Source organism: Homo sapiens, chromosome 12 (assembly GCF_000001405.40).
Source record: "Homo sapiens chromosome 12, GRCh38.p14 Primary Assembly".
NCBI classification, from domain to species: domain Eukaryota; kingdom Metazoa; phylum Chordata; class Mammalia; order Primates; family Hominidae; genus Homo; species Homo sapiens.
Genome location: NC_000012.12, coordinates 10844152 through 10867792, shown reverse-complemented (window position 1 = coordinate 10867792; position 23641 = coordinate 10844152). Strand labels below are relative to the sequence as shown.

At 39.6% G+C, this 23641-nt stretch overlaps 1 protein-coding gene and 1 long non-coding RNA gene across 3 annotated transcripts in view; both read left to right on the top strand.

Annotated features, from left to right (window-relative positions):
- Nucleotides 1-21944, top strand: part of PRH1-PRR4 (PRH1-PRR4 readthrough) — a 325777-nt gene extending 303833 nt beyond the window's left edge. The window contains exons 8-10 of the long non-coding RNA NR_037918.2: nucleotides 19386-19421; nucleotides 20426-20748; nucleotides 21843-21944. This is a non-coding gene — a long non-coding RNA (PRH1-PRR4 readthrough). The remainder of the gene's footprint in view (nucleotides 1-19385; nucleotides 19422-20425; nucleotides 20749-21842) is intronic.
- Nucleotides 18318-21944, top strand: PRR4 (proline rich 4). Of its 2 annotated transcripts, none has more exons than NM_001098538.3 (4): nucleotides 18318-18419; nucleotides 19386-19421; nucleotides 20658-20748; nucleotides 21843-21944. In NM_001098538.3, the coding sequence occupies exons 1-4, from the start codon at nucleotides 18356-18358 to the stop codon at nucleotides 21847-21849; spliced, it is 198 nt and encodes a 65-aa protein (NP_001092008.2). In that variant the 5' UTR covers nucleotides 18318-18355; the 3' UTR covers nucleotides 21850-21944. The 2 variants fall into 2 exon arrangements, with proteins under 2 accessions (NP_001092008.2, NP_009175.2); NM_007244.3 differs by having other exon boundaries at nucleotides 20426-20748.
- Nucleotides 21945-23641: the final 1697 nt, after the last annotated feature.

The window sequence follows — 23641 nt, the reverse complement described above, 5'->3', positions numbered from 1 at the left end:
TCCAGTTCTGGACACTGTTCATAACTTGGCCAAAGGAGAAGCCAAATCAGGGTAGATGTTCAATAGCACCATGCTTTAGGAGGTACATTCCTTAGGTCACCAGACCATAACCCCTAGCCAAGTTTCTCATACTTCCAGGGTAATTCCTTTGGGACATTTCCCATTTCGGACAGTTAATACTCCAACCGTTTACTAAAGACAAGGTAAAAGTGAGGTTGAGACACCACCTAGAGTCAAAAGGGAGGCAACAGCCCAGCAGTGAGGATTTGCCAAGCAAATAGACTCAATAACAACAAACACAACCCAGACCTGAAAAACTGGAATTAATTAATAACCCTTCTATGGAAAGACATAGAAGTATACCCACAGGAAACAACAGCAAGCAAAGAGCCATGGCCTTCCCAAAAGGACAAAGGTACCAAACTAGTTACTGACCCCAATGACATGACAGTTGGTTAGCTCTCTGATCAAGAATTCAAAATAACAATTTTAAGGAAATCAGATATCTGCAAGATAGCATAGGAAAGCAATTTATTGATTTATCAGAGAATTTTAACAGAGATTGAAATAATTTTGAAAAATCAAACAGAAATCTGGGGACTGGTAACTAGATTTGCTGAACTGAAAACTCATTAGAGGCTCTCCATACTTTCCCACCTCTCAGCTTGCAGGATCAGTCAGGGTTGGTGCAGGGAAACACATGATTCTTCTGTCTCTTGGCCAGGTCAGTGCTGGGCCTCATCTCAGCTCCTGCCCACTGCTCCAGCAGACAGCCCTGCCACTCCGTATTTTCCCACCTCTCAGCTTGCAGGATCAGTCAGTGTTGGTGCAGGGAAACACATGATTCTTCTGTCTCTAGGCCAGGTTAGAAGGGCAGTCTCCAAGGGACAGGCTTCAGGACTTGGATGGAAACCTAACCTGAACCTAGGGTCGATTTTACTTTATAATGTATGGTTATTCAGAGATAGAGTATGTGAGCCTCCATTTGTCTTCCTGCACTGGGGCCTGAAAATGTTAAATCTGGTCTTTTAGATAATCAATGGCTTTTTTCATTATGGAGAGAATTATCCATAAGTTCTGGGTAATGTATGGCAGTATTTAATTGATAATGTCTTTCCCAATATATACTCTGTTTTCTTTTTCTAAAATTCATGTTGGGTGAATTTTTTAATTGTCTTCACATTATGGACCATATCTTTGCCTTTTTGCCCTACCTCATAGGGGATTTCCTTAACTTTACATTTTATTGAACTTATCAATTTAATTTACAATTGCTCATATTCTTTTGTGTTCTCTGGTCAATCTTCTATTTGATAGCATCCTTTTATGTTTTATGGTTATATCAGAATATATTAATTATAGTCTTGTAAACGTTTCTTCTGCTGTTTATCTTACCTCTTTTCCTTCAGAATTACACTTTGTTCTGATTCTTTGAGTCTCATTTGATGGAGAATTTCTTCAATTGTCTGGTCAACCTTTGATTCAATTCATACTTAAGAGTAGGCACTAAAACGATCAGAAAGCTCTATGCGTGTTGGAAAAGGTCTGGAGAATCATGCATTTCACAGTAGAGGGATTGGATGCCCAGGTAGCTATTTTGTTCAGATCTCCAGTTGCTGCCCCTGACACAGTGATGATCCTTCTGAAGAACCCTTCATTTTCCTGATCTGAGAATGTCATCTTCATTATTGGTGTTGGGAAGATTTAGGGTCTTATTTTAATAGAGAAAGCTGGGCTTTGCAAGTGGTTGTCCTGCTGTAAGTGGCAGAGTTAGAATGAAATCTACAGCTTCTCATTCCCAAGTCTGCACAACACTCCAAAGAAGTGACTGCCCCAACTTACAAATGCAGCCAACCTCAAGGTAAATTTGTACCACTTAGTTTTGTCACTTAAACTATTGCATATACATATTGCACAGTATAAATACATGCAATACTATCAAATTTTATATAAACTCATACATATCCTTTTGCAAAAGTCTAGTTTAAACATTACCAAATCAGGGATAGCTGTCTCCATACACAACTGAAACAAATTTGAGAGATGTAAGATTACCTGTTCTCTCTGCAGGAGGAAAATATAGGCCTCACAAAGATGTTTACATCTTAATTCCCAGAACCTGTGTTTTATGTTAAATTACATGGCGAAGGGCAATTAAGTTTGCTAATAATTTGGCCTAAAAATAGAGAGAGTTTCCTGGATCTAATATCAAGGTAAATGACAGGAAATGGCACATAGAGCTTTCTATCTTATAATGTGCTTTTGTATCTCAATGCCTTTTTCCCCTTTCAGAGCATACATTACTCAAAGACGGAAAATATGTGTGTGCTTTTTTTATTTCTGTGAAGTATGCTGATTGGTATTTTGTTTGGGATTGCATTAAATCTGAAGATCATTTTGATTAGTATGGCCACTTCCACAATATTAATTGTTCCAATCCATAAACATAGAGTATCTTTTCATTTATTTGCATCTTTTTCAATTTCTTTTATCAATGTTTCATAGTTTGCAGTATTAGAGATCTTTTATCTCCTTGGTTAAGTTTATTCCTAAGTATTTTATTCTTTTTTGGTTATTGTAAATGAAATTGTTTTCTGAATTATTTTTCATATAGTTCACCATTAGCATACAGAAATGCTACTAATTTTTGTACATTGATTTTCTATTCTGCAACTTTACCAGATTTATTCTAACAGTTTTTTGTTGAAGTCTTTAGAGTTTTCTATAAATAAGATCATGTCATCCGAAAAGATGAACAATTGACTTCCTTCTATTCAATTTCAATTTGTTTAGTTTCTATCTCTTGCCTAGTATATCTAGCTAATACTTTTAATACTATGTTGAATAGGAGTGATGAAAGTGAACATCCTTATCTTTATCCTAATCTTAGAGGAAATCTTTCACCTTTCCTTATTCTGCATGATGTTACTTGTGGGTTTGTCATATATGGCCTTTTTGTGTTGAGGTACATATCTTGTGTGTCTAATTTCTTGTGAGCTTTTCTTATGCAGGGATATTGAATTTTATAAAATACTTTCTCTGTGTCTATAGAGATGATCATATGGCCTTTGTCCTTCATTTTGTTAATAGGGTGCATCACATTTATTGATTTGTATATGTTGAATAAAACCCACTTGATCATAGTGAATGATCGTTTTCATGTGCTGCTGCGTTCACTTTGCTAAAATCTTGTTGAATTTTTGCATTGATATTCATCAGGGATGTTGGCTTGTGGCTTTTTTATTTGTTGTATCTTTGGTTTTGGAATCAGGGTAATGCTGGCTTTGTAAAATGCGTTTGGAAGTATTACTTCCTCTGCAATATCTGGAATTGTTTCAGGATAATTAGTATCAATTCCTCTTTAAATGTCTGGTAGAATTCAGCAGTAAAGCTATCAATCCTGATTTTTAAAAATTGATACATAATGTTTGTACATATTTATGGGACACATGATATTTTGTTATAAGCATATAGAATGTATAATGATCAAGTTAGGGTATCTGTCATCTTGAGTATTTATCATTTCTATGTTTGGGGAACTGTTCAAGTCCTTTCTTCTAGCTATTTTGAAATATTGTTAAACATAGTCACCCTAATCTGTTATCAAATATTTGAATTTATTCCTTCTAACTGTATGTTTGAACCCATTAATGAACCTCTCTTCATACTTGTCCTCCTGCCTCACAAACACTGGTCCATCTCTTGTAGCCATTATTCTATTCTCTACCTCTGTGTGATCAACATAAGTGAGAACATGCACTGTTTGTTTTTCTGTGCCTGGCTTATTTCCCTTAACATAATGCCCTCCAGTTCCATCCATGTTGCTACAAATTACATGATTTTATTCTTTTTTTATGGCTGAATAGTATTACATTGTGTATATATACCACTGTTTTTTTTTAATCCATTTGTCCACTGACGGACACTTAGGTTGATTCCATATCTTTGCTATGGTGAATAGTGCTGCAGTCAACATTTGAATATAGGTATCCCTTTGATGTCCTCATTTCTGTTTCTTTGGATAAATAGCCAGAAGTGAAATTGCTGGATCATATGGTCATTCCATTTTTAGTTATTTTGAGAAATCTCCATATTGTTTCCATAGTGACTGTACTAATTTACATTCCCACCAACGGTATGTAAGAGTTTTTCCTTGAATCCTCACCAGCATCTGTTTTTTTTTTCTTTTTAATAATACCCATTCTAACTGGAGAAGGATGATATTGTGTTTTTAATTTGCATTTCCCTGATGATGAGTGATGTTGAGCATTTTTTATATACCTACTGGACATTCGTATACTTTTTTTTGAGACATGTCTAAAGTGCAGTTAAAATCCAATGTTTATTTCTTAATTTTCACTCTGGATTATGTGTCTAAGGCTGAGAATGGGGCATTGAAGTCCCTCACTATTATTCTGTTGGAATCTATCTCCCCCTTTATGTCTAATAATATTTGCCTTATATATCTGGGTGCTCCAGTGTTGTTTGAATATTTAGAATTGTATTATCCCTCTTGCTGAATTGATCCCTTTATCTTACATGATGACCTTTTTTGTGTCTTTTTGCTGTTTGCAAATTAAAAATTAAAATCTGTTTTATCTGATACAAGTATAGTACTTCTCACTTTTTGTTTCTATTTGCATAGAATATCATTTTTCATCCCTTCACTTTAAGTCCATGTGTCTTTACAGAGAAATTTACTTTATTATTGGCAGCATATACTTGTGTCACGCTTTTTAAAATCCATTAAGCCAGTCTATATCTTTAAACTGAAAATTTTAGTTCATTTACCATCAAGCTTATTACTACCGGAGGATTTATTCTTGTCATTTTATTAATTGTTTTCTGGTTATTTCATATGTCCTTTTACCTTTCTATATTTTTTATTGTTTATAATTGTCATTTGTTGATTTTATGTAGTGGTAAAATTTGAATCCTTTCTCTTTTTCATTTGTGTATTTGGTTTACCAGTGAGTTTTATACTTGTGTGTGTTTTTGTGATGGACCATATTGTCTTTTTGCTTTAAAGTATAGAATTTCCTTCAGGATTTCTTGTAGGACCAGTGTAGTAGTGATGAATTTCCAGTTTTTCTTGTTTAGGAACGCCATTATTTCTACTTCATTTTTGAAGAATAGCTTTGCTGGAAATAGTATTCTTGGCTGATAAGATTTTTTTTGTTTCAATACTTTGAATATGTCATCTCATTCTCTCCTGGCCTGTAAGGTTTCTTCTGACAAATTCGTTGTTAATCTAATGGAGGTTCCCTTTTATATGACTTATATATCTTTTAAATGGGGAATTTAATTTGTTTACCTCAGGGTTATTATTCACATGTGAGGTTTTGGTTTTTCTATATTGCTCATTGTTTCCTGGTTGTTTTATATGTCCCTTTCTTCCTTTCTTCCTCTCTTATTGTTTATCATTTCTTTTAGTTTTCTGAAATAATAAGGCTTGATTCTCTTTATTCTTTGTGTGTCTTCTCTAACAGTGAGTATTTATGTATTTTCAAAATAGTGATTATCATCTGTTTGCTTCTAGATGTAGAACTCCCTTGAGCACTTGTTGTAAGGTTAGTCTAAAGCTTTTGCTTATCTGTGAAAGATTTTATTTCCTCTTTATTTATGAAGGATAACATTTCTGAGTATAGTATGTATGACTGAAAGTGTTTCTTCCAGAACTTTGAATATTCCATACTATTCTCTCCTAGCCTATAAACTTTCTGTTGATAAATTCTCTTTTGATCTGGTGATAGTTCCCTTACATATGACTGGATGCTTTTCTCTTTTTAATAATTTTTATCTTTGAAGTTTTTTTTTAATTTTAATTTTGCTTTAGTTGCCAGTGCTTGTGAGGTATTACTCAAGAAATCTTTGCCCACTATGGTGTTCTGGAGAGTTTCCCCAAAGTTTTCTTGTTGTAATGTTGTAGTTTTGCCAACGGACCCAGATAGCAGTCTCTTATTGTCTGAGATAATATCTGAAGTTCTTTGTCCTACGTCCAAGATGATTGAGAAGCACAGACACAATGTGAGGTTAAAGCATAAGTTTAACAAACAAAAGAAGAAAGCTCTCTGCCAGCGGAAAGAGGGACCCAAATGGATTGCCCTCTATGAGGCTGGGGTCCAGGGTGTTTATGGACTGGGAAGGGGAAGGAATGCACTTAGTCCATGGGCTGTCTTGGAGAACTTGTGACTCAGCTTGGCCCAGGGCCTTGGCTCTGGACCAATCAGGAGCTGAAACGATGGTTCATAGAGGCCAGGCTCACAGTCCAAACATGTCTGTTTCTATGCCAGTGTCATGCCATTTTGGTTACCATAGTTCTGTAGTATTTAAGACAATTTAAAGTCAGGTAATGTGATTCCTCCAAATTTGTTCTTTTTGCTTAGGACAGCTTTGGCTATTCTGAGTCTTTTGTGGTACCATATGAATTTTAGAATTGTATTTTCTGTTTCTGTGAAGAATGTCATTGATACTTTGATAGGGATTGCATTGAATCTGCAGAGTGCTTTGGGTAGTATGGACATTTTAACAAAACTGATTCTTCCAATCCGTGAACATAGAATGTCTTTCCATTTTAGTGTGTTATCTTCAATTTCTTGCACCAATGTTTTATACTTTTATACTTTTCATCTTTCACTTCTTTGGTTAATTCCTAGGTATTTTATCTTACTTGTAGCTATTGTAAATAAGAATACTTTCTTGATCTTTTTCAGACTGTTCCCTGTGGGCATATAAAAATGTTACTGAATTTTGTATGTTGATTTTGTATCCTGAAATTTTACTGAATGTTTCTATCAGTTCTAATACATTTTTGTGGAGTCTTTATTTTTTTCCAAACATAAAGTTTCATCATCTGCAAACAAAGATAATTTGACTCCTTCCTTTCCATTTTGGATGCTCTCTTTTCTTTTCCCTCCCCTCCCCTCCCCTCCCCTCCCCTCCCCTCCCCTGCCCTCCCCTGCCCTCCCCTCCCCTTCCCTCCCCTTCCCTCCCTTTCCCTTCCCTTCCCTTCCCTTCCCTTCCGTTCTCTTTTCTTTCATCTGATTGCTGTAGTTAGAACTTCCAGTACTATGCTGAATAACAATGATGACAGTGAGCATCCTTGTCATGTTCCAGATCTTAGAGGAAAGCTTTCAGTTTTTCCCCATTCAGTATGATATTAGGTGTGGGTCTGTCATATATGGTTTTAATAATGTTGATGCATTTTCCTTCTATGCCCAGTTTTTGATGATTTTTATCATGATGGAATGTTGAATTTTATCAAATGATTTTCATTATCTATTGCAATGCATATTAGTTTTGTCCTTCCTTCTGTTTATATGATTTATCAACATTCATTGGTTTGCACATGTTGAATTATTCTTGCATCCATGGGATAAATGCCACATAGTAATGATGAATTGTATTTTTAATGGGCTGTTGCATTCTGTTTGCTAGCATTTTGTTGAGAATTTTTGTATCAATGTTCATCCAAAATATTGGCCTGTATTTTTTTTAATGTGTCTTTGTCTAGTTTTCATATTAGGGTAATATTCACCTCACCAAATGAGTTTGAAAGTATTCCTTCCCTTTCTATTTTTCAGAATAGTTTGAGAAGGATCAGTATTAGTTCTTCTTTAGATATTTGGTAAAATTTAGCATTGAAGTCATCAGGTCCTGGTCTTTTGTTTGCTAGGACAGTTTTTATTATGGCTTTGATCTCATCACTTGTTATTTGTCTATTCAGGTTTTTGGATTTCTGTATAGTTCAATCTTGGCAGGTTACATTTGTCTAGGAATTTATCAGTTTCTTCAATTTATTAGCATATAGTTGCTCACAGTAGTCTCTAATAATCCCCTGAATTTCTGTGGTGTAGGTTGTAATATCTCCTTTTTCATCTCTAATTTTATTTATTTGGGTTTTCTCTCTTGTTTTCCTGGTTAGTCTGTCAAAAGGTTTGTCAATTTTGTTCATCTTCTCAAAAAACAAACTTTTTGTTTCATTCTTCTGTTGTATTTTTTAATTTTAATTTCATTTATTTATGCTCTAGTCTTTATTTCTTTTTTCTACTAATTTCGGGTTTGGTTTGCTCTTGCTTTTCTAGTTCTTTAAGATGCATCATTAGATTGTTTATGTGAAGTTTTTTTATTTTTTGATGTAGGCACATATAGCAATAATCTTCCTTCTTAGTACTGCTTTGGGGCTTACGGATAGGCTTATGTGCTTCTCTTCATAGCAGCAAGATCCCTTAGCTCCAGGCAGGTCCAAAAATGCTGTCCAGGAGCCACGGACCAGAGTCCAAAACTTTGGAAATTTACCTTGTGTTCTATTGTACTGCTGTTAAGCTGGCACTCAAACCAGTAGATGCAATTCTTCCCATTCTAATCTTCCCTTTTCATATGCAGGCACCTTGCCCCCTGGCCACCATCACCACAAGCCTATGGGAATATTCTCAGGCTACCACTGATGCTCACTTAAGGACCAAGGGCTCTTCATTCAGCCTGTGGTGAATAATGCTGCCAGATCTAGGACTCACCTTTTATAGTGGTGGGCTCCCCGTCTGGACCAGAGCAGGTCCATAAATGCTGTCCAAGAGCCAGGGCCTGGAATTGGGGACCTCAAGAGCCCACTTGGTGTTATACTTCTCTGTGGCTGACCTGGTACCTAAGGTTCAAGACAAAGTCCCCTTTACTTTTTCTCTCTGCTTTTCTCAGGCAGGAGGAATCTCTGACCATACCCACCACAGCTAGGAATGTGTTGGGTCTCACTGGAAACCAGCACATCTCAGAGTCTCACTCAAGGCCCACAGCATACTACCTGGATATCACCGCTTGTTATTCAAGGCCCAAGTGCTCTTTAATCAGCAGGTGATTGGTTCTTTCATTACTTGGCTCTTCCTTTCAATGCAGTAGGTTTCCTTCCAGCCCAGTGTGTGTCTAGAAATGTCATCTGGGAGCTAGAGTCTGAAATCAGGGCTTCATGACTCTGACCAGAGCTCTATCCTACTGAGGCTAAGCTGGTATCCAAGATGCCAGACAAAGTCCTCCTCACTCTTCCTTCTCCTCTCCTCATGTGGAAGGAAGTGGTCTCTTTTGGAGCCATAAGCTGTGTAGCTGGGGGTTGAGGGAGGGATGGCCCAAGTACTGCTTTAGCCACCCCAGCTGATGTTTCAGTAGGTCATGTACCCACCGCCCCCACCAGTCTACTTGCCCTGAGCCCAGCTGAGCACTAGGACTCACCTAGGATTTGTAGTCCTTGTGGCCTAGACTGCCTTTCAAATTTATTTAGAGACCCAGACTACTTTAGCCTACAGTGACAAGGCTTGCCAGAACTCAAGTTCTGGCTGCTGGAATGTACAGTTCTCTTCTGGCTAGGGCTGGTCTATATGCTCCCTCTGTGGGTGGACATCAGCTGAGTTCACCCCGGTTTTGCCTTCCATTGTCACAAGGCAGCACTGATTTCAATGCGAAGTTTCAAAATCACCACACTTTCCCTCCCCAAGTCTACAGATTCTCCATTCTATGTAGTTGCTGCTGGGTTAAGACAAGGGTGGCGATGGCAATTCAAGACTGTCTTTCCTACCCTCTTCAGTACCTCTTTCAGTAATATGAAGTTAAAAGCAGGTACTTTGAGTGATCACCTGATTTTTGGTTCTTATGGAAGTGCTTTGATTATGTAGGCAGTTGTTAAATTTGGTGTTCCTGTGGGTGGGATGATTGGTGGAGCCTTCTATTCCACCATATTGCTCTGCCACTTCTATAGTGTTTTTCTCTTTGACTTTTGACAGTTTGAGTATAATGTGACATGAAGAAAATATTTTTGGGTTGTATCTATCTAAGCTTCCTGTATCTAGGTGTTTAACTCTCTTGCTAGACTTGAGAGGTTTTCTTCTATTATTTCATTATATAGGTTTTTTATGTTTTTGCCTTTCATTTTGCCTTTGGGAAAAACCCAAATTCAAAAATTTGGTTGCTTTATGGCATCCCATATGTCATGTAGGATTTGTTCATCTTTTTCACATTTTATCCCTCTTTTTTTGTCTGACTGGGTTATTTAAAATATTTGTTTTCAAGTTCTGATATTCTTTCTTCTCACTGACCTATTCTATTTTTGAAGCTTTCAGATGTATTTTTCTTTCATTTATTGATTTATTTATCTCCAGCGTTTCTGTTTGATTCTTTTTTATGATATCCATTTCATTGTTGAATTTCTCTTTAATATCCTGAAATGGTTTTCTGGTTTCTTTCTATTTTTTACCTGTGTTCTCTTCTATCTCACTGAGCTCCATTAGTATCATTTTTTAAATATTTTCCCCAACATTACATAAATTTCTTTTTCATTGGAATCTACTGCTGGAGGAGTATTGTGTTGATTTGGAGGTGTCATATTTTCTTGCTTTTTCATGTTTCCTGTGTCCTTACATTGATGTCTGCGCATCTGGTGAAATAGTTGCTTCTTCTGTTTTTTAAATTGGCTTTCATAGGGGAAGATTTTTGTATCAGTCCATTCTCACATTGCTATAAAGAAATACCTGAGAGTGAGTAATTTATTTTTCAAAAAAAGGTTTAATTGGCTCATGGTTCCGCAGGCTGTACAGGAAGCATAGAAGCATATGCTTCTGGGGAAACCTTAAGGAGCTTTTACTTGTGGCAAAAGGCAAAGCTGGAGCAGGAGTCTTACATGGCAGGATCAGGACCAAGTGGGGGCGAGATGCAACACACTTTTAAACAACAAGATCTCATGAGAACTTACTCACCATCATGAGAACAGCAGTGAGAGAATAGTACTAAACCAGTTATGAAGAATCTGCCCTCATGATCCAGTCACCTCCCAACATGCCAGTCTTCCCCAACACTGGGGATTACAATTCAACATGAGATTTGGGTGGGGACACAGATCCAAACCATGTCATTCAGCCCATCACTACTCCCAAATCTCATGTCCTTCTCACATTTCAAAATACAATCATGCCTTCCCAAGAGTCCCCCAAAGTCTTAAATCATTTCAGCATTAGCTCAAAAGTCGAAAGTCCAAAGGCTGATCTCAGACAAGGCTAGTCTCTTTCACCTATGAGCCTGTAAATTCAAAAAACAGTTACTTCCAAGATACAAGGGGAGTACAAGCATTGGGTAAACACTCCTGTTCCAAAAAAGAGAAAGCTGTAAAAAGAAAGGGGCTACAGACCCCATGCAAATCTGAAACCAGCAGGGAAGTCATTAAATCTTAAAGCTGCAAAATAACCTCATTTGACTTTCTATGTTTCACAACCAGGCATACTGATGGAAGGGGTGGGTTCCCAAGGCCTTTTCAGTTCCACCCCTGTAGCTTTGCAGGGTTCATTTCCCACAGCTTCTCTCAAGGGCTGACATTGAGTGCCTGCAGCTTTTCCAGGTGCATGGTGCAAGCTGCCAGAGGATCTGTCATTCTGGGGTCTGCATGATGACAGCTCTCTTCTCACAGCTCCACTAGGCAGTGCCCCAGTGGGGACTCTGTGTAGGGGTTCCAACTCCACATTTTCCCTTTGCACTGCCCTAGTAGAGGTTCTCTGTGAGGGCACTGCCTCTGCAGCAGGCTTCTGCCTGGACATTTAGGCTTTTCTGTAGATCCTCTGAAATCAAAAGAGAGGCTCCCAAACCTCAACTCTTGCACTCTGCACACTCACAGACTTAACACCACATGGAAGCTGCCAAAGCTTATGGCTGGCATCCTCTGAAGCAGCAGCCCAAGTTGCAGCTGGACCCCTTTGAGCCACAGCTGGAGCTGGAGCAGCTGGGATGCAGGAAACAGTGTTTGGAGGCTGTGCAGGTCAGTGGGGCCCTGCGCCTGGACCAGGAAACCATTCTGCCCTCCTAGGACTCCAGGCCTGTGATGTGGGTGTGGCTACGAAAGTCTCTGAAATGCCTTCAATGTCTTTCTCCCATTGTCTTGGCTGTTAACATTTGGTTATTCTTTACTCATGCAAATTTCTGCAGCTAGGGTAAATTCTTCTCTAGAAAATGGGAATTTTTTTTCTACCACATGGCCAGGCTGCAAGTTTTCCAAACTTTTACACTCTGCTTCCCTTTTTAATACAAATTTGAGTTTTAGCTCATTTCTTTGCTTAGGCATATGAGCTTAGGTTGTTAGAAGCAGCCAGGTCATATTTTGAACACTTTGCTGCTTAGAAATTTCTTCCACCAGATACCCTAAATCATCACTCACAAGTTCAAAGTTCCACAAGTCCCTAAAGGAGGGGAACAATGCACCCAGGCTCTGTGCTAAAGCATAACAAAAGTGACTGCTCCAGTTGTTCCCAATAAGTTCCTTATTTTTATCTGAGATCTCCTCAGCCCAGACTTCATTTTCCATATCAGTATTAGCATTTTGGTCACAATTTACAAGTTTTTAGGAAGTTCCAAATTTTCCCTTATCTTCCTGTCTTCTGAGTCCTCCAAACTCTTCTAACCTCTGCTCATTACCCATCTCCAAAATCGCTTCCACATTTTTAGTATCTTTATAGCAATGCCCTACTCTTCGGTACCAATTTTCTGTATCAGTTCATTCTCACATTGCTATAAAGAAGTACCTGAGAGTGGGTAATTTATGAAGAAAAGAGGTTTAATTGGCTCACAGTTTCATAGGTTGTACAGGAAGCATAGTGACATCTGCTTCTGGGGAGGCCTCAGGGAGCTTTTGCTCATGGCAAATGGCAAAGCAGGAGCAGGCATCTTACATAGCAGGAGAAGGACTGGGTGGGGGGGAGGTGACACACACTTTTAAACAAGCAAATCTCATGAGAACTCACTCATTGTCATAAGAATAGTACGCAGGGGATGGTGCTAAACCATTCATGAAGGATCCACCCCCATGATCCAATTACCTCCAATGAAGCCCCTCCCCCAACATTGGAGATTATAATTCAACATGAGATTTGGGCAGTGACATAGATCCAAAACATTAACTTTTCTTTCTGAAGATGTATCTGTGGTGTTGATTCAGTAGGACACTTTGGCTTTGATTCTGTGTGTGTACAGTAAGGTGGTCTTATATTATTCCTTCAGCTATTAACAGCATAAGTGGTGTCTGTGACTTCCTCAGTGGCTTAGGCTGTAGTTGTGATTGGAGGCTGTAGTGAGGTTTTCCTGGGGACAGAGATTTTAGGTGGGCCAGTTCTTGGGCCCCAGTAGGGGTAACAGTGGGCTGAGAGTGCCTATATTTGGCACCTAGGCAACATATGTTTGTACCAGTTTTAGCAGCTTTAAGCAGAACAATTCTGGGGGCTTTAAGTAGCTTACCTGGGTACTAGCAGTTGCAATGGTAGGCTGAAAGGGTGGGTGGGCCTTTAGGCCTCTGGGAATGTGCTTGCCATGGGCAATTTCTGTAGCTTGGTTGGACAACCCTCAGATTCTCAAGTTGCAAGCTCTGGTGTTAGAGGTGGTTGTGATGGGCTGGGGGCCAGTCTCCAGACCTTCAGATGTTGCATGCATATTGTTTCTGGCTACAGTGCTACTGTCAGGCTGGTTGGGCCCATTCTCAGTCCTCCTAAAGGAATGTGCAAATGCCAGTGGTGGTGGACAAAGCAGGATGATTGCCACACCCCTGGGTAGTGTGCCTGGGCACTGGGATGATGGAACCAGGCTTGGCAGGCCTGTCCTCAGTCCCCCTAGTTATGTACATGGATGTTGGCTGTGGTAAGTTGGATGGGGTAATCCTTGGATCTCCCAATAGCAGGAGCAATACCTGAAGAAAGCCTGTCCTCGAGGCACATGCAAATTTGCTGCAGCTGTGCTGCTAGGGCAGGGTGTGGTTATTGTCAGTGGCAGCAGCCACTAGCAGGCAGCTCTCTGGCAATGTGGAGCACACTTTGGCTTCTGGCAGCAGCATAAGCCAGTCCTCAGGGTACGTGCAAGTTCACAGTGGCTCTGCTGCTGGTGGAAGTCAGGTCACTGCCAGTGGCACATGCTCTGGCCCCCAGCTGCATCAGCAGACTCAGCAGCAGATGGAGAGGGCCTGTCCCCAGGTTGCATGCAAGTGTGCAGCATCTCTGCTGCTGTGTTGCGGGGGTGACATTGCTGTCTGTGTCAGCAGCCACAGGGAGGCAGCTCTCTGGTTCTGGAAAGCATGTGCTTTGGCTCCCTATGTCTGGTTCACAGCCTTTCCAGTGCCTGAGGTGCAGAACACTGCATATGCTAGAATGCTGAGGATCCTGCCACTTTGCTGGGTCCAACTGGCATTTCACTGCTGCAGCCCCCGGTGGTGACAGCAGCAACTGTGCCACCAGCAGCAGTGGGAAGAGCCTTTTCTCAAGGTGTGTGCACTTACATGCACTGCTGTCTTCCTGCTGGGTGGGCGGGTTGCTGTCAGTGCTCACAGGTGTAGCAGGGCCATCCATCTCTGCAGAGTCCCATCTGAGGAGGCAGGGTCACTGCAGGACCAATTATTAGACCATGCACAAACTCAGAGTTGTTGTGGCCCAAGCAGGCTGTAGTCCTGGGGGTGGGCCCACCACAGGACCAGTTTTCAGGCTGGGCACCAGCATGCACAGGCTCAGCAGACTAGCTGGTTGTGAGGTGTGGGTGCATGTGGGTGTCGTGGCTAGTAGGCAGATGGGTGGCTTCCCTGCTGTTCACTTCTTCCCTGGATTGGTGGTGCACCACATGGGTTCGGATGCCGGGGTCTTGATTAGTTTATCTGGCTAGGCTCTGGGAAGCTAGGGTCATGGTGCTGCAGATACCTGTATGAATGTGTTGGAATGATGGTGGGGCCTCAAGTGATAGAGAGCCAGGTGCTACTGATGCTCAAAGCAAGACACACTCTCTATGTAGGTTCAGTTTGGAGATGGCACTGAGCCATAGCACCTTACATTGCAGGGGCAGAGGGTGCTCAAGGTGGTCTCTTACTATGTAAGGCAATGCAGTTTGGAAATCCCAACTGCTCTCCAGACTGGTTTTTGTGCCAGTGAGAACAGTGGGGCAAAGATTGTTGACATTTTTTATGGCAATGTGGACCACTGGGGAACTACAGCTTACTTTTTCCTGTAGAATGGAGTTACTGATGACCCTGAGCCAACCTTGACTGAAGAGAGAGTATGTCAGAGGCAGGATGCTATATTGAGTTTCTGTACTTCACAGAGGTGTTTCTGTTCCCCTGGTGGTCTCCAGCATACTTTTTAAATCACACTGGCTGACATAAAATTGTTTGTTTTCTTGATTTCTTTTTGTGGGGAAATGAGTGCCAGGGAACTCTAGTCAGCCATCTTGCTGATGTTCTAAATTCTATTTTTAAAAGATCACTCTGGCTGTTGTAAGGAGAACTGCTTGGGATGTGGTGAGGGGCAGGAATGTCACCAAGATCAGCTGGAGACTGTTGAAAGTCCTCCAGGAGGGAGAATCATGGCTTGACTCAGGACCTTCTGATAGAGATTATGAAACTGATCATATATGGGATATCTTTTGAAGGTAGAACCAATTGGATTTGCTAAGGGCAGTACACGGAGGAGACTAAACAATCAAGAGTGACACTTATGTTTTTGAATGGTTGAGTGAAACAAATGTCATGAACTGAGAAAAGATTGTGAGGTGTTATCAGCTAAATTGTGTTCCCTCCAAACTCTCATGTTGAATCCCTTACCCCCGATACCACTGAATGTGACTCTATTTGCAGCATGGCCTTTAAAGAGGTGATTAGGTTAAAATGAAGCTGATAGGGTTGGTGCTAATCCCATCTGACACCTGTCCTCATAAGAAAAGAACATTAGCACAGACCACAGAGGGGTACCAGGGATGCACGTCTACAGATAAAACCCCATGTGAAGATACAGCAAGAACCGGCCATCTAGAAGTGAAGGAGACAGGGCCTCAGAAGACACCAAACCTGTTGACACCTTAATCTTGTACTTCAAGCTCCAGAACTATGAGAAAGTAAATTTCTGTTGTTTAAGCCACTTGTGGGGCATTTTTTTAGGGTAGCCATAACAAATTAGTATGAAGGAGAGCAGGTTTTAGGAAGTAGAAATCAAGAATTATATTAGGGGTATGTTAAGTTTTCATCTGTTGTAAAAGGCAAGTGGATTGCTGAGAGTGTCCACTCACCTACAAGTGCCTAAGCTCCTGCTGCAGTCCTGCTTCTCGATTTGACCCCACCCTCACTCACTGACAGTGTCTGTTTCAGCTCCTCCGTCACCTCTGTTGTGGTTGTGTGTGGTGAGATCATAGCTGATGTTTATTATTTCCTGATACATTAATCTCTTTCTCTCATTGCTTACACTGGAGAATGTCAGGGTAAGGGTCTGAGCTGAGTGATATTTGCAGGCATCACCTGTTGTCTTCCTGCACTCACCAGCCAAGGAGAAGCCTGCCTTCCACCAGGACTGCAGTTTCCTCAGCCACCCACACAGTGAATCATGTCTGCATGGCACGCCCCTCTGCTCCTTCTCGCTGACCTTCCTTTCCTACCTGATGGTCTACCATAAGCCACCTAGGCAGAACTACTTATCTCCACTTCCCATGTTAAACAGTGTCTGGTGAAATCAGAGGCAGCAATCCTAGTAACACAGCTGGGTCTGTAGGCCCAAACAACTACTCTCTCTCACCCATAAAACCCTAAAGCACAGCTAGAACTCTTCTGCTTCCCACATAGAGAAGAATTGCTAACTCATAATATATTTCACCTTCAAAATATGTCCATAATTATGCCAGAGAAAATATTTATTTTTTGGTCACTTTGCCAAAGTAAAGTTATCCATAACAAACACCATTGATTAGAAAATCTTCCTGTAATATTACCTCCAACCCTTCAGAATTGCCAGACCAGACCTTCATCTGCACAGCACAGGATCCACTTATCCACAATGGTCAAGAGGCCTGTCTTTAAGATTTCCAGTCACATTCCCCCGACCCTGTCATACTTCCAACCAAGCTATCCTCAAATTATCACCAGCCCTGTACAAAAATGTAACAATAATACGAGACCTATACAATGCCTGTAATGAAAAGTGGCAGCTGGTGATACTGATTGATCTAGGGGTTCCATGAAAATATAAGCAGAAAACTACTAGATAGGACAGAAAAATCAGCAGGTGAAGATTAAGCTACCAACTCAGGACCCTACCAAACTTTTCAGAAACACAAAACCTTGGTGCCAAATTTTAAAAACAAAAAAGAAGAAAGCAAGCAAAGAGAAGTACAGAACCTTGTTTAGAAAATCAAATAAAGATTTCTCCCAGAACGCATGAAGAAAGCAGTAAGATATAAAACATAGACATAGGGAGGATTGATTCACAATATAACATATCAACAAGTAAGGTTCAGCACAAGAGTGAAGAAGAATGAGTATAAGAATATTGCAGAGAAAATAATCTTTGGTAAAGGCAATCTGAGAAGCAAATAGAATGGAAACTAATTAAAAAATAGAAAATCAATGTAATACTTGAGGCTTTCAACAGGCTATCATACTATCTAATTAGATTGTATTATTGTGTCCACTCAATAACCAGTGTGATTAAAATATTTGGTACAAGAAGTAAGACCTAAACTGAATCATATAGAACATTCTAGAAAAGAGAAAGATCATGGAAGAAGTCTTAGGGACATAAAATAGCATGGCTTGTTCAAGGAACTGTGTATTCACACTGTTCTGATGCAGAAATCTAATGGTGCTTTCTGTGGCCAATTTTGCCTTACTAACCTCCAGGGTATTAATAAAGATAGAATGTTTTAATACCTGTGTTCTACAACAATAAAGTATCTCTGGTTAATGCTAGATTAGGAGAATCTTAATCTCTTTGGGCCAGAGTAGCCTGAGGGTAAAACTTCTGTCATCCACGTGTGCCCAAGTGTGTGTTGTCCTCACACAACTCAACATTAAACAGAAATGATCTCTATATTATTATGAAATTAAGCTACATATCATCCATATAGGTATATATGCTATAAAAATGGAATTTATGCTACACTAATAGCTAGAGATATTAATCATTTTCACTTCTGGCTATAAGATCACTGCTGACAAACATATACAAACGTAAGCACGTGTGCACACAGACAACCAATGAAGGGGAAAGACTAACTGTCTAACCCAATTGAAAATCAAATGATGACCAAACTTCAATTGTAGTATTTGTGCTGATTGCTTGGATACTGTTTCTTCAGAAACTATGCTCAAGTCACAGTTTGTACCTAACCACATCCTACCACCACATCCTGCTGGGCTAAAATCCCAAAAAGTAATAAGAGACGCATTCAACTTTATGAGAGGAAAGCAAAACCTAATCTTTCAGGTGGTGAGGTCCACCCAGTATGGAGCTCAAAGGTGCCATTGTTCTGCTCATGTTTATAAAGGGAGCTGCCATGTTTCTCTCAACGCAGAGTTGGGAGCAACTCCAGAGCCTCCTTCAAGATGCTGCTGGTCCTGCTCTCAGTGGTCCTTCTGGCTCTGAGCTCAGCTCAGAGCACAGATAATGGTAAAAAAATTATTTTTTTAAAAAAGGAGATGGGGAGTGGGATGAGGGGCCATGACTCTTCTAGGGCCTCAGGGGTTCACCCTACACCACTGCAGCGGAAGAGCAGGAGGGGAGGAAGGAGGTTGAGAAGAAGGGTAGGGCTTTGGAGCTCTCATTCCAAGGATGACATCTGTTGTGCCCTCATTCCATGCCAAGGCCTTATACTTTATTTGATATACACTTGGAACCCAATAGAGAATTTCAATTAGAGGAATGACAAAGTAAGATTTGTATTTTTAGAAAGACCTGGCTGTGCTGTGAAGGATGCAGTGGAGAATGCAAGACTGATCCAGGGAAGTCCAGCTATGAAGATGCTACAGTAATCTCAGTGGACAGCGATGATGGTGTCCTTGCTGTACAGGGGATGCAGAATCAATGAAAGAGATAAACAAACATCAGAGTACTGTCAGACATAGAGGACTGGATAATACATTTGTGTCTTTCTACATAGTGGTATAGAAATATCAGGTCCCCAAATTCCCATTTTTCTTCCAATCACATTTAAAATTTCAATATGTTGCAGGCAGCATGTGTAAGATTATATCCAAATATTTACTCCTGGTTGCTCCTCTTGGGCAAGCTTGTGAATATGATCAAAATATTTAAAGAAGGAAGAAGGTAAAGATCTAAAATATGACATGAAAATACCCAGAGAAGTGTGCCTAAATTAGCATTAGGGTTTGAGGGATCCTAAGGATGACAAAAAGGGACTCTTCTATTGAATTCGTGGTTGATGCTCAGCGATAGTAACAATCCTGCCTCCCCTAACATCTTCCTCCCCTTCCAGCAGCTTCACAGAACATGGTTGATGAGGTAACTTAGGGGATGCACAGGGTGTGGCCAGAAGACCCCTTTCCCTATAGACCACTATGAGCCCTGAAAGATTTATGAGGTAATGTTCACTTCATCCTGTGCTTCTTTTCCTAGATGTGAACTATGAAGACTTTACTTTCACCATACCAGGTAAATCCCAATGATCCTCAATCCAATTCTTTTCTTTCTTTTTCCACTAGAATTTCTTTTTAGTTTCCTTCAGTGTCTTCTTCTCATCATTTTTTTGGGAGGAGGTGGTAAGAGGGGTCAGGCATTGATTAATATTAGTGCCCCTAAATATATAGGCAATTCTTACCCATCTTTGATTCTGGGGACCATGAGCCAGGCCACCAACTTGAATACAGAGATGCCTGGCTTTGAGGACAATAGGAGTGGGCAGGCTTTTTTCCCAGGCTGGAATGACTGCTGAGAGATGATGAACAAATGAGAAGTGTTCTCATTCTGACTCCTCCATCCTTAACTGCTTCTTTCTTCCCCCAGTGTTCCCCCGCACGGTTATGTGGCTTCAGGGAGTAACACAAAACAAAACAAAAAAATCACTGCATGAATGTCTTTTCTCTGTGTTGACCCACTCAGCTGTGTCACTACAGATGATAAATAGTTGCCACAGCTGTTTAGTGATCATGTGCAGGCTTTCACATTGTCTTTCTCTTCTGTCTCTTAGTATTTCTCTACTTGGTTCCAGGAGCCTGGGAAATCAGCTCTAGTTTCCACATAGGGCTTAGGTGCCCAGAGATGGAGTCACAGTTTGTAAGTCATTACAGCAACCAAAAAATAAAAATAAAAAATAACCAGTAACATAACTGAAAGCTATAATGCTTTTGCTTTTTTTTTTTTTTCTGTCCTTGGAGACATCCTCTGGCAACTCTAAGATATGCAAGAACCCCTCTTTTCATTTAAGGAAACATACTTGTCACAGGAGCAAATAAATGAGACTTTCCATATCACTCTTACATGGATTAAGTTGAGAGCTGCATAAAAAGAAAAAAAAAACAGTGGGCACAAAAGAAGTTGACAGTCAAGCAGCAGGTTTGGGGAGAACAGGGCTGTGTGGTAAGGTGAGAGAAGTATAAAGAGAGGAGAGTTTTTCTTCACTGAGCTCATGCATTCTTGTCCATTAATTACTCACACAGATGTAGAGGACTCAAGTCAGAGACCAGATCAGGGACCCCAGAGACCTCCTCCTGAAGGACTCCTACCTAGACCCCCTGGTGATAGTGGTAACCAAGATGATGGTCCTCAGCAGAGACCACCAAAACCAGGAGGCCATCACCGCCATCCTCCCCCACCTCCTTTTCAAAATCAGCAACGACCACCCCGACGAGGACACCGTCAACTCTCTCTACCCCGATTTCCTTCTGTCAGCCTGCAGGAAGCATCATCATTCTTCCAGAGGGACAGACCAGCAAGACATCCCCAGGAGCAACCACTCTGGTAATCTAGAATTCAGTGGCAGGTATGATTCCAGTTCATTCTCCATTAAATGCCCAAACTGCTACCATTCCCAAACTTTATCGTGTTCACAAATCAATTGGAAATATGTTGAAATTACATAATCCTGGACCCCATTTCTAAAGATTTGTATTCAGATATTCTTGGATAAGGTTGCAAGTCCTTGTATTTTTAACAAGTGGTTCAAAGAATTCTTATCTTTTGAAATACTGACCTCCCCAACTTTTTTCTTAAGATGACTTGTCTCATTAAAATGAGTTGGTAATGAGGAAGTGGGGTGTGCTCTCCCTTTGGTGCTCTGCCTCCTGTCTTTGAGTCTGCCTTCTCAAACCCAAGGACTCTCCATCTCAGGTTTCTCTCAGGTTTCCGCCAGAGGACTCTTTGCTCAGTCCTGCCTCACACTAGCCTCTCAGGTCCAGTGTCCCTGCTAAATGATACTTGAACTTGATGCTCTTATATCTTATTTAATTTTTAAAATACTTATTTTGAAATTAGTACATGCTCAAGGAAAAAAAAATCTAACTGAACAGAATGGTATGAAGCTAAATCTTAAAGTGACGCCTTATCCTACTTACCCACACCCTTCACCAAAAGTCACCACCCTTAATTTTTTGAACATCCTCCTGGAAATATTTATATGTATATAAGCATACGTCATTATTTTTCCCACAAATGACATATTATTTTATATGCAGATCTGTATTTGCTTATTTCAAATAATACATGTCTTAGACAACTTTATCATTTCACGGAGACCTATAGATCTTCTTGGTGATTTATTTGTACATTTTTCTTTTGTTGTTACAATTGTATACTATTCTCTTGTGTGACTGTACCATGATTTCCTCAGTCAACCACTGTTAATTGATATGTAGGCTTGTATTAGTTTTTCACTACTACAGGTTCAAGTTGCAGTCATTTTCATAAATATAACCTTGAATGTTTTGAACAGTAACCAAAACATAAACACCATAAAAAAATCTGTTTTCTTAATCTTGAAAGCAATAATTTACTTCAGTAATATCATCAAGGAATTAGATAAGTTTTGCCATGTTGTATGTTGTGTATAAATTTCCTTGGTTTTTTTTTTTGTTTCAGAAAATAAATAAGAAGATAACTTCCTTCAGAAAGCCATGACATTGAAATAATGTGGTCATAACTCTTTCTTCAGTATACCAATAAAATATTAATAGCATGCAATTTCTGATTGTTGCTTCTCTTTGTGGGTGTTTCTGAGTCTAGAATTTGAGGGCCATTAATACAATCTAAGAATATCTGGGACTCTTGCTCATTGATGCTTCCAGCAGGCTTCCCTCCTCCTTTATCTTAATAAAGCCAGCTGCCAAGGAGAAAGAGTTCCATTGTTCCCCTTCTGTCCTAGATTGCATAGCACAAATGCAAATTCTTAAAATTATTTTTACATCTTTCATTGATATTCTTGTAACTCTAGGAAAACAAGGAATATATAACAAATGAGAGGGAGTTGCAAGTGCTGGGGAATTCTTAAAATTTCCAAAACTATTAATCCTGGTTTCTAGGGGCATAAATGTAGTTCTAGATCTCTTCTCTATAAAACTCACTATGCTCTTTTCTCCTCTTTTTTCATTGCTCAGCTCTCTTCCTCCCTAAGTCGTTCACCATTCTTTTTAAAAACTTGAGTGGATTTCATAAAGGGTGCAGCATAATGTACTTTAAAGGGCAAGAAATTTGAGTAAAACTCTGTTCTGATTGTAAAAATTCCAGCAATATCAGTATTATTGTCAGATAATATAGACTACCAAATTTAACTCAAGTTGCTGAGGCAAAGTTGAATAGAAAATAACCCTAAGAAGCAAAAGAATTTGATATGTAACTGTCTCCAGCTACCTCTCATTATCACCTCCAATGTCGCTGAATACAGAAAATTTTAATATCTAATCTTTATCATTAAAAAGCACATAATTCTTTTTTAGATTTTTTAAGTACAGGAAACAACAAGTTTCTGAATTCATTCTGAGTTTCATTAAACAAAATATATAGGACAGCAAGGATACTCTGTTAGGGAAACTATTCAATAGTACATAAACAAACGAACAGTATGCTAAAAGAATAATAAACCACGTTGAAAGAGGATGAGGATGTTAAAGATGGTTCAATATTAGAAAATTGGCCACACCATATCTGATTTTGATGATATTTAGATAAGACTTTGGATTTAGATTTTAAAGTGGATGCTGGAATGAGTTAAGACTTTGGGATTTGGGAGATGAAATAAATGTACTTAGTATGTGAGAAGACCATATATTTCGGGGGATGACCAGGGACAGAATGCTATAGTTTGAATGTTTATGTCTCTACAAAATAAATTTATGTTGAAACTTAATTCCCTATGCAATAGTATTAAGAGATGGAGTCTTTGGGGGAAGTGACTAAGTCGTGTGGACTCTGCTTTCATGAATGGGATCAATTTCCCTACAAAAAGAAGCTCCCAAAGGCTGCTGAGCTGTTCCATCTCTTTTGACATGTAGGGACTCAATGTTCATGTTTCTTTCATACTTCTGCCTCATGAGAGAGAAGCCAGGAGAAATTGTCTGTTTGGAATGGGCTCTCACTCAACCCCAAATCTGGTACCATCTCAATCTTCAACTTTCCAGCCTCCAGAGCTATGACAAATCCATTTATATTATTTATAAATTACCCAAGATAAGATATTTTGTTAATAGCAGCTCGAACTGGCTAAGGCAGAGGGCTACTTACAAGAATTAAATGCATAATATATATAAAATTACCTTATAAAATGTATATAAAATTACCCTACAAGATGTATATAAAATTACACGATTTAAGTCTTGTAAAATGCAACATGTATACAAAATTACCCTACATGACATACAACAATAAAAGTTCAATACATTTAA

Excerpts from the sequence above, each read along its gene's own strand:
- PRR4 (NM_007244.3), top strand. The coding sequence starts at position 18,356 with ATGCTGCTGGTCCTGCTCTCAGTGGTCCTTCTGGCTCTGAGCTCAGCT. Across the intron at positions 18,420-19,385 it reads AGCTCAGAGCACAGATAATG|ATGTGAACTATGAAGACTTT; the intron begins GTAAAAAAATTA and ends TTCTTTTCCTAG. Across the intron at positions 19,422-20,425 it reads CTTTACTTTCACCATACCAG|ATGTAGAGGACTCAAGTCAG; the intron begins GTAAATCCCAAT and ends TTACTCACACAG.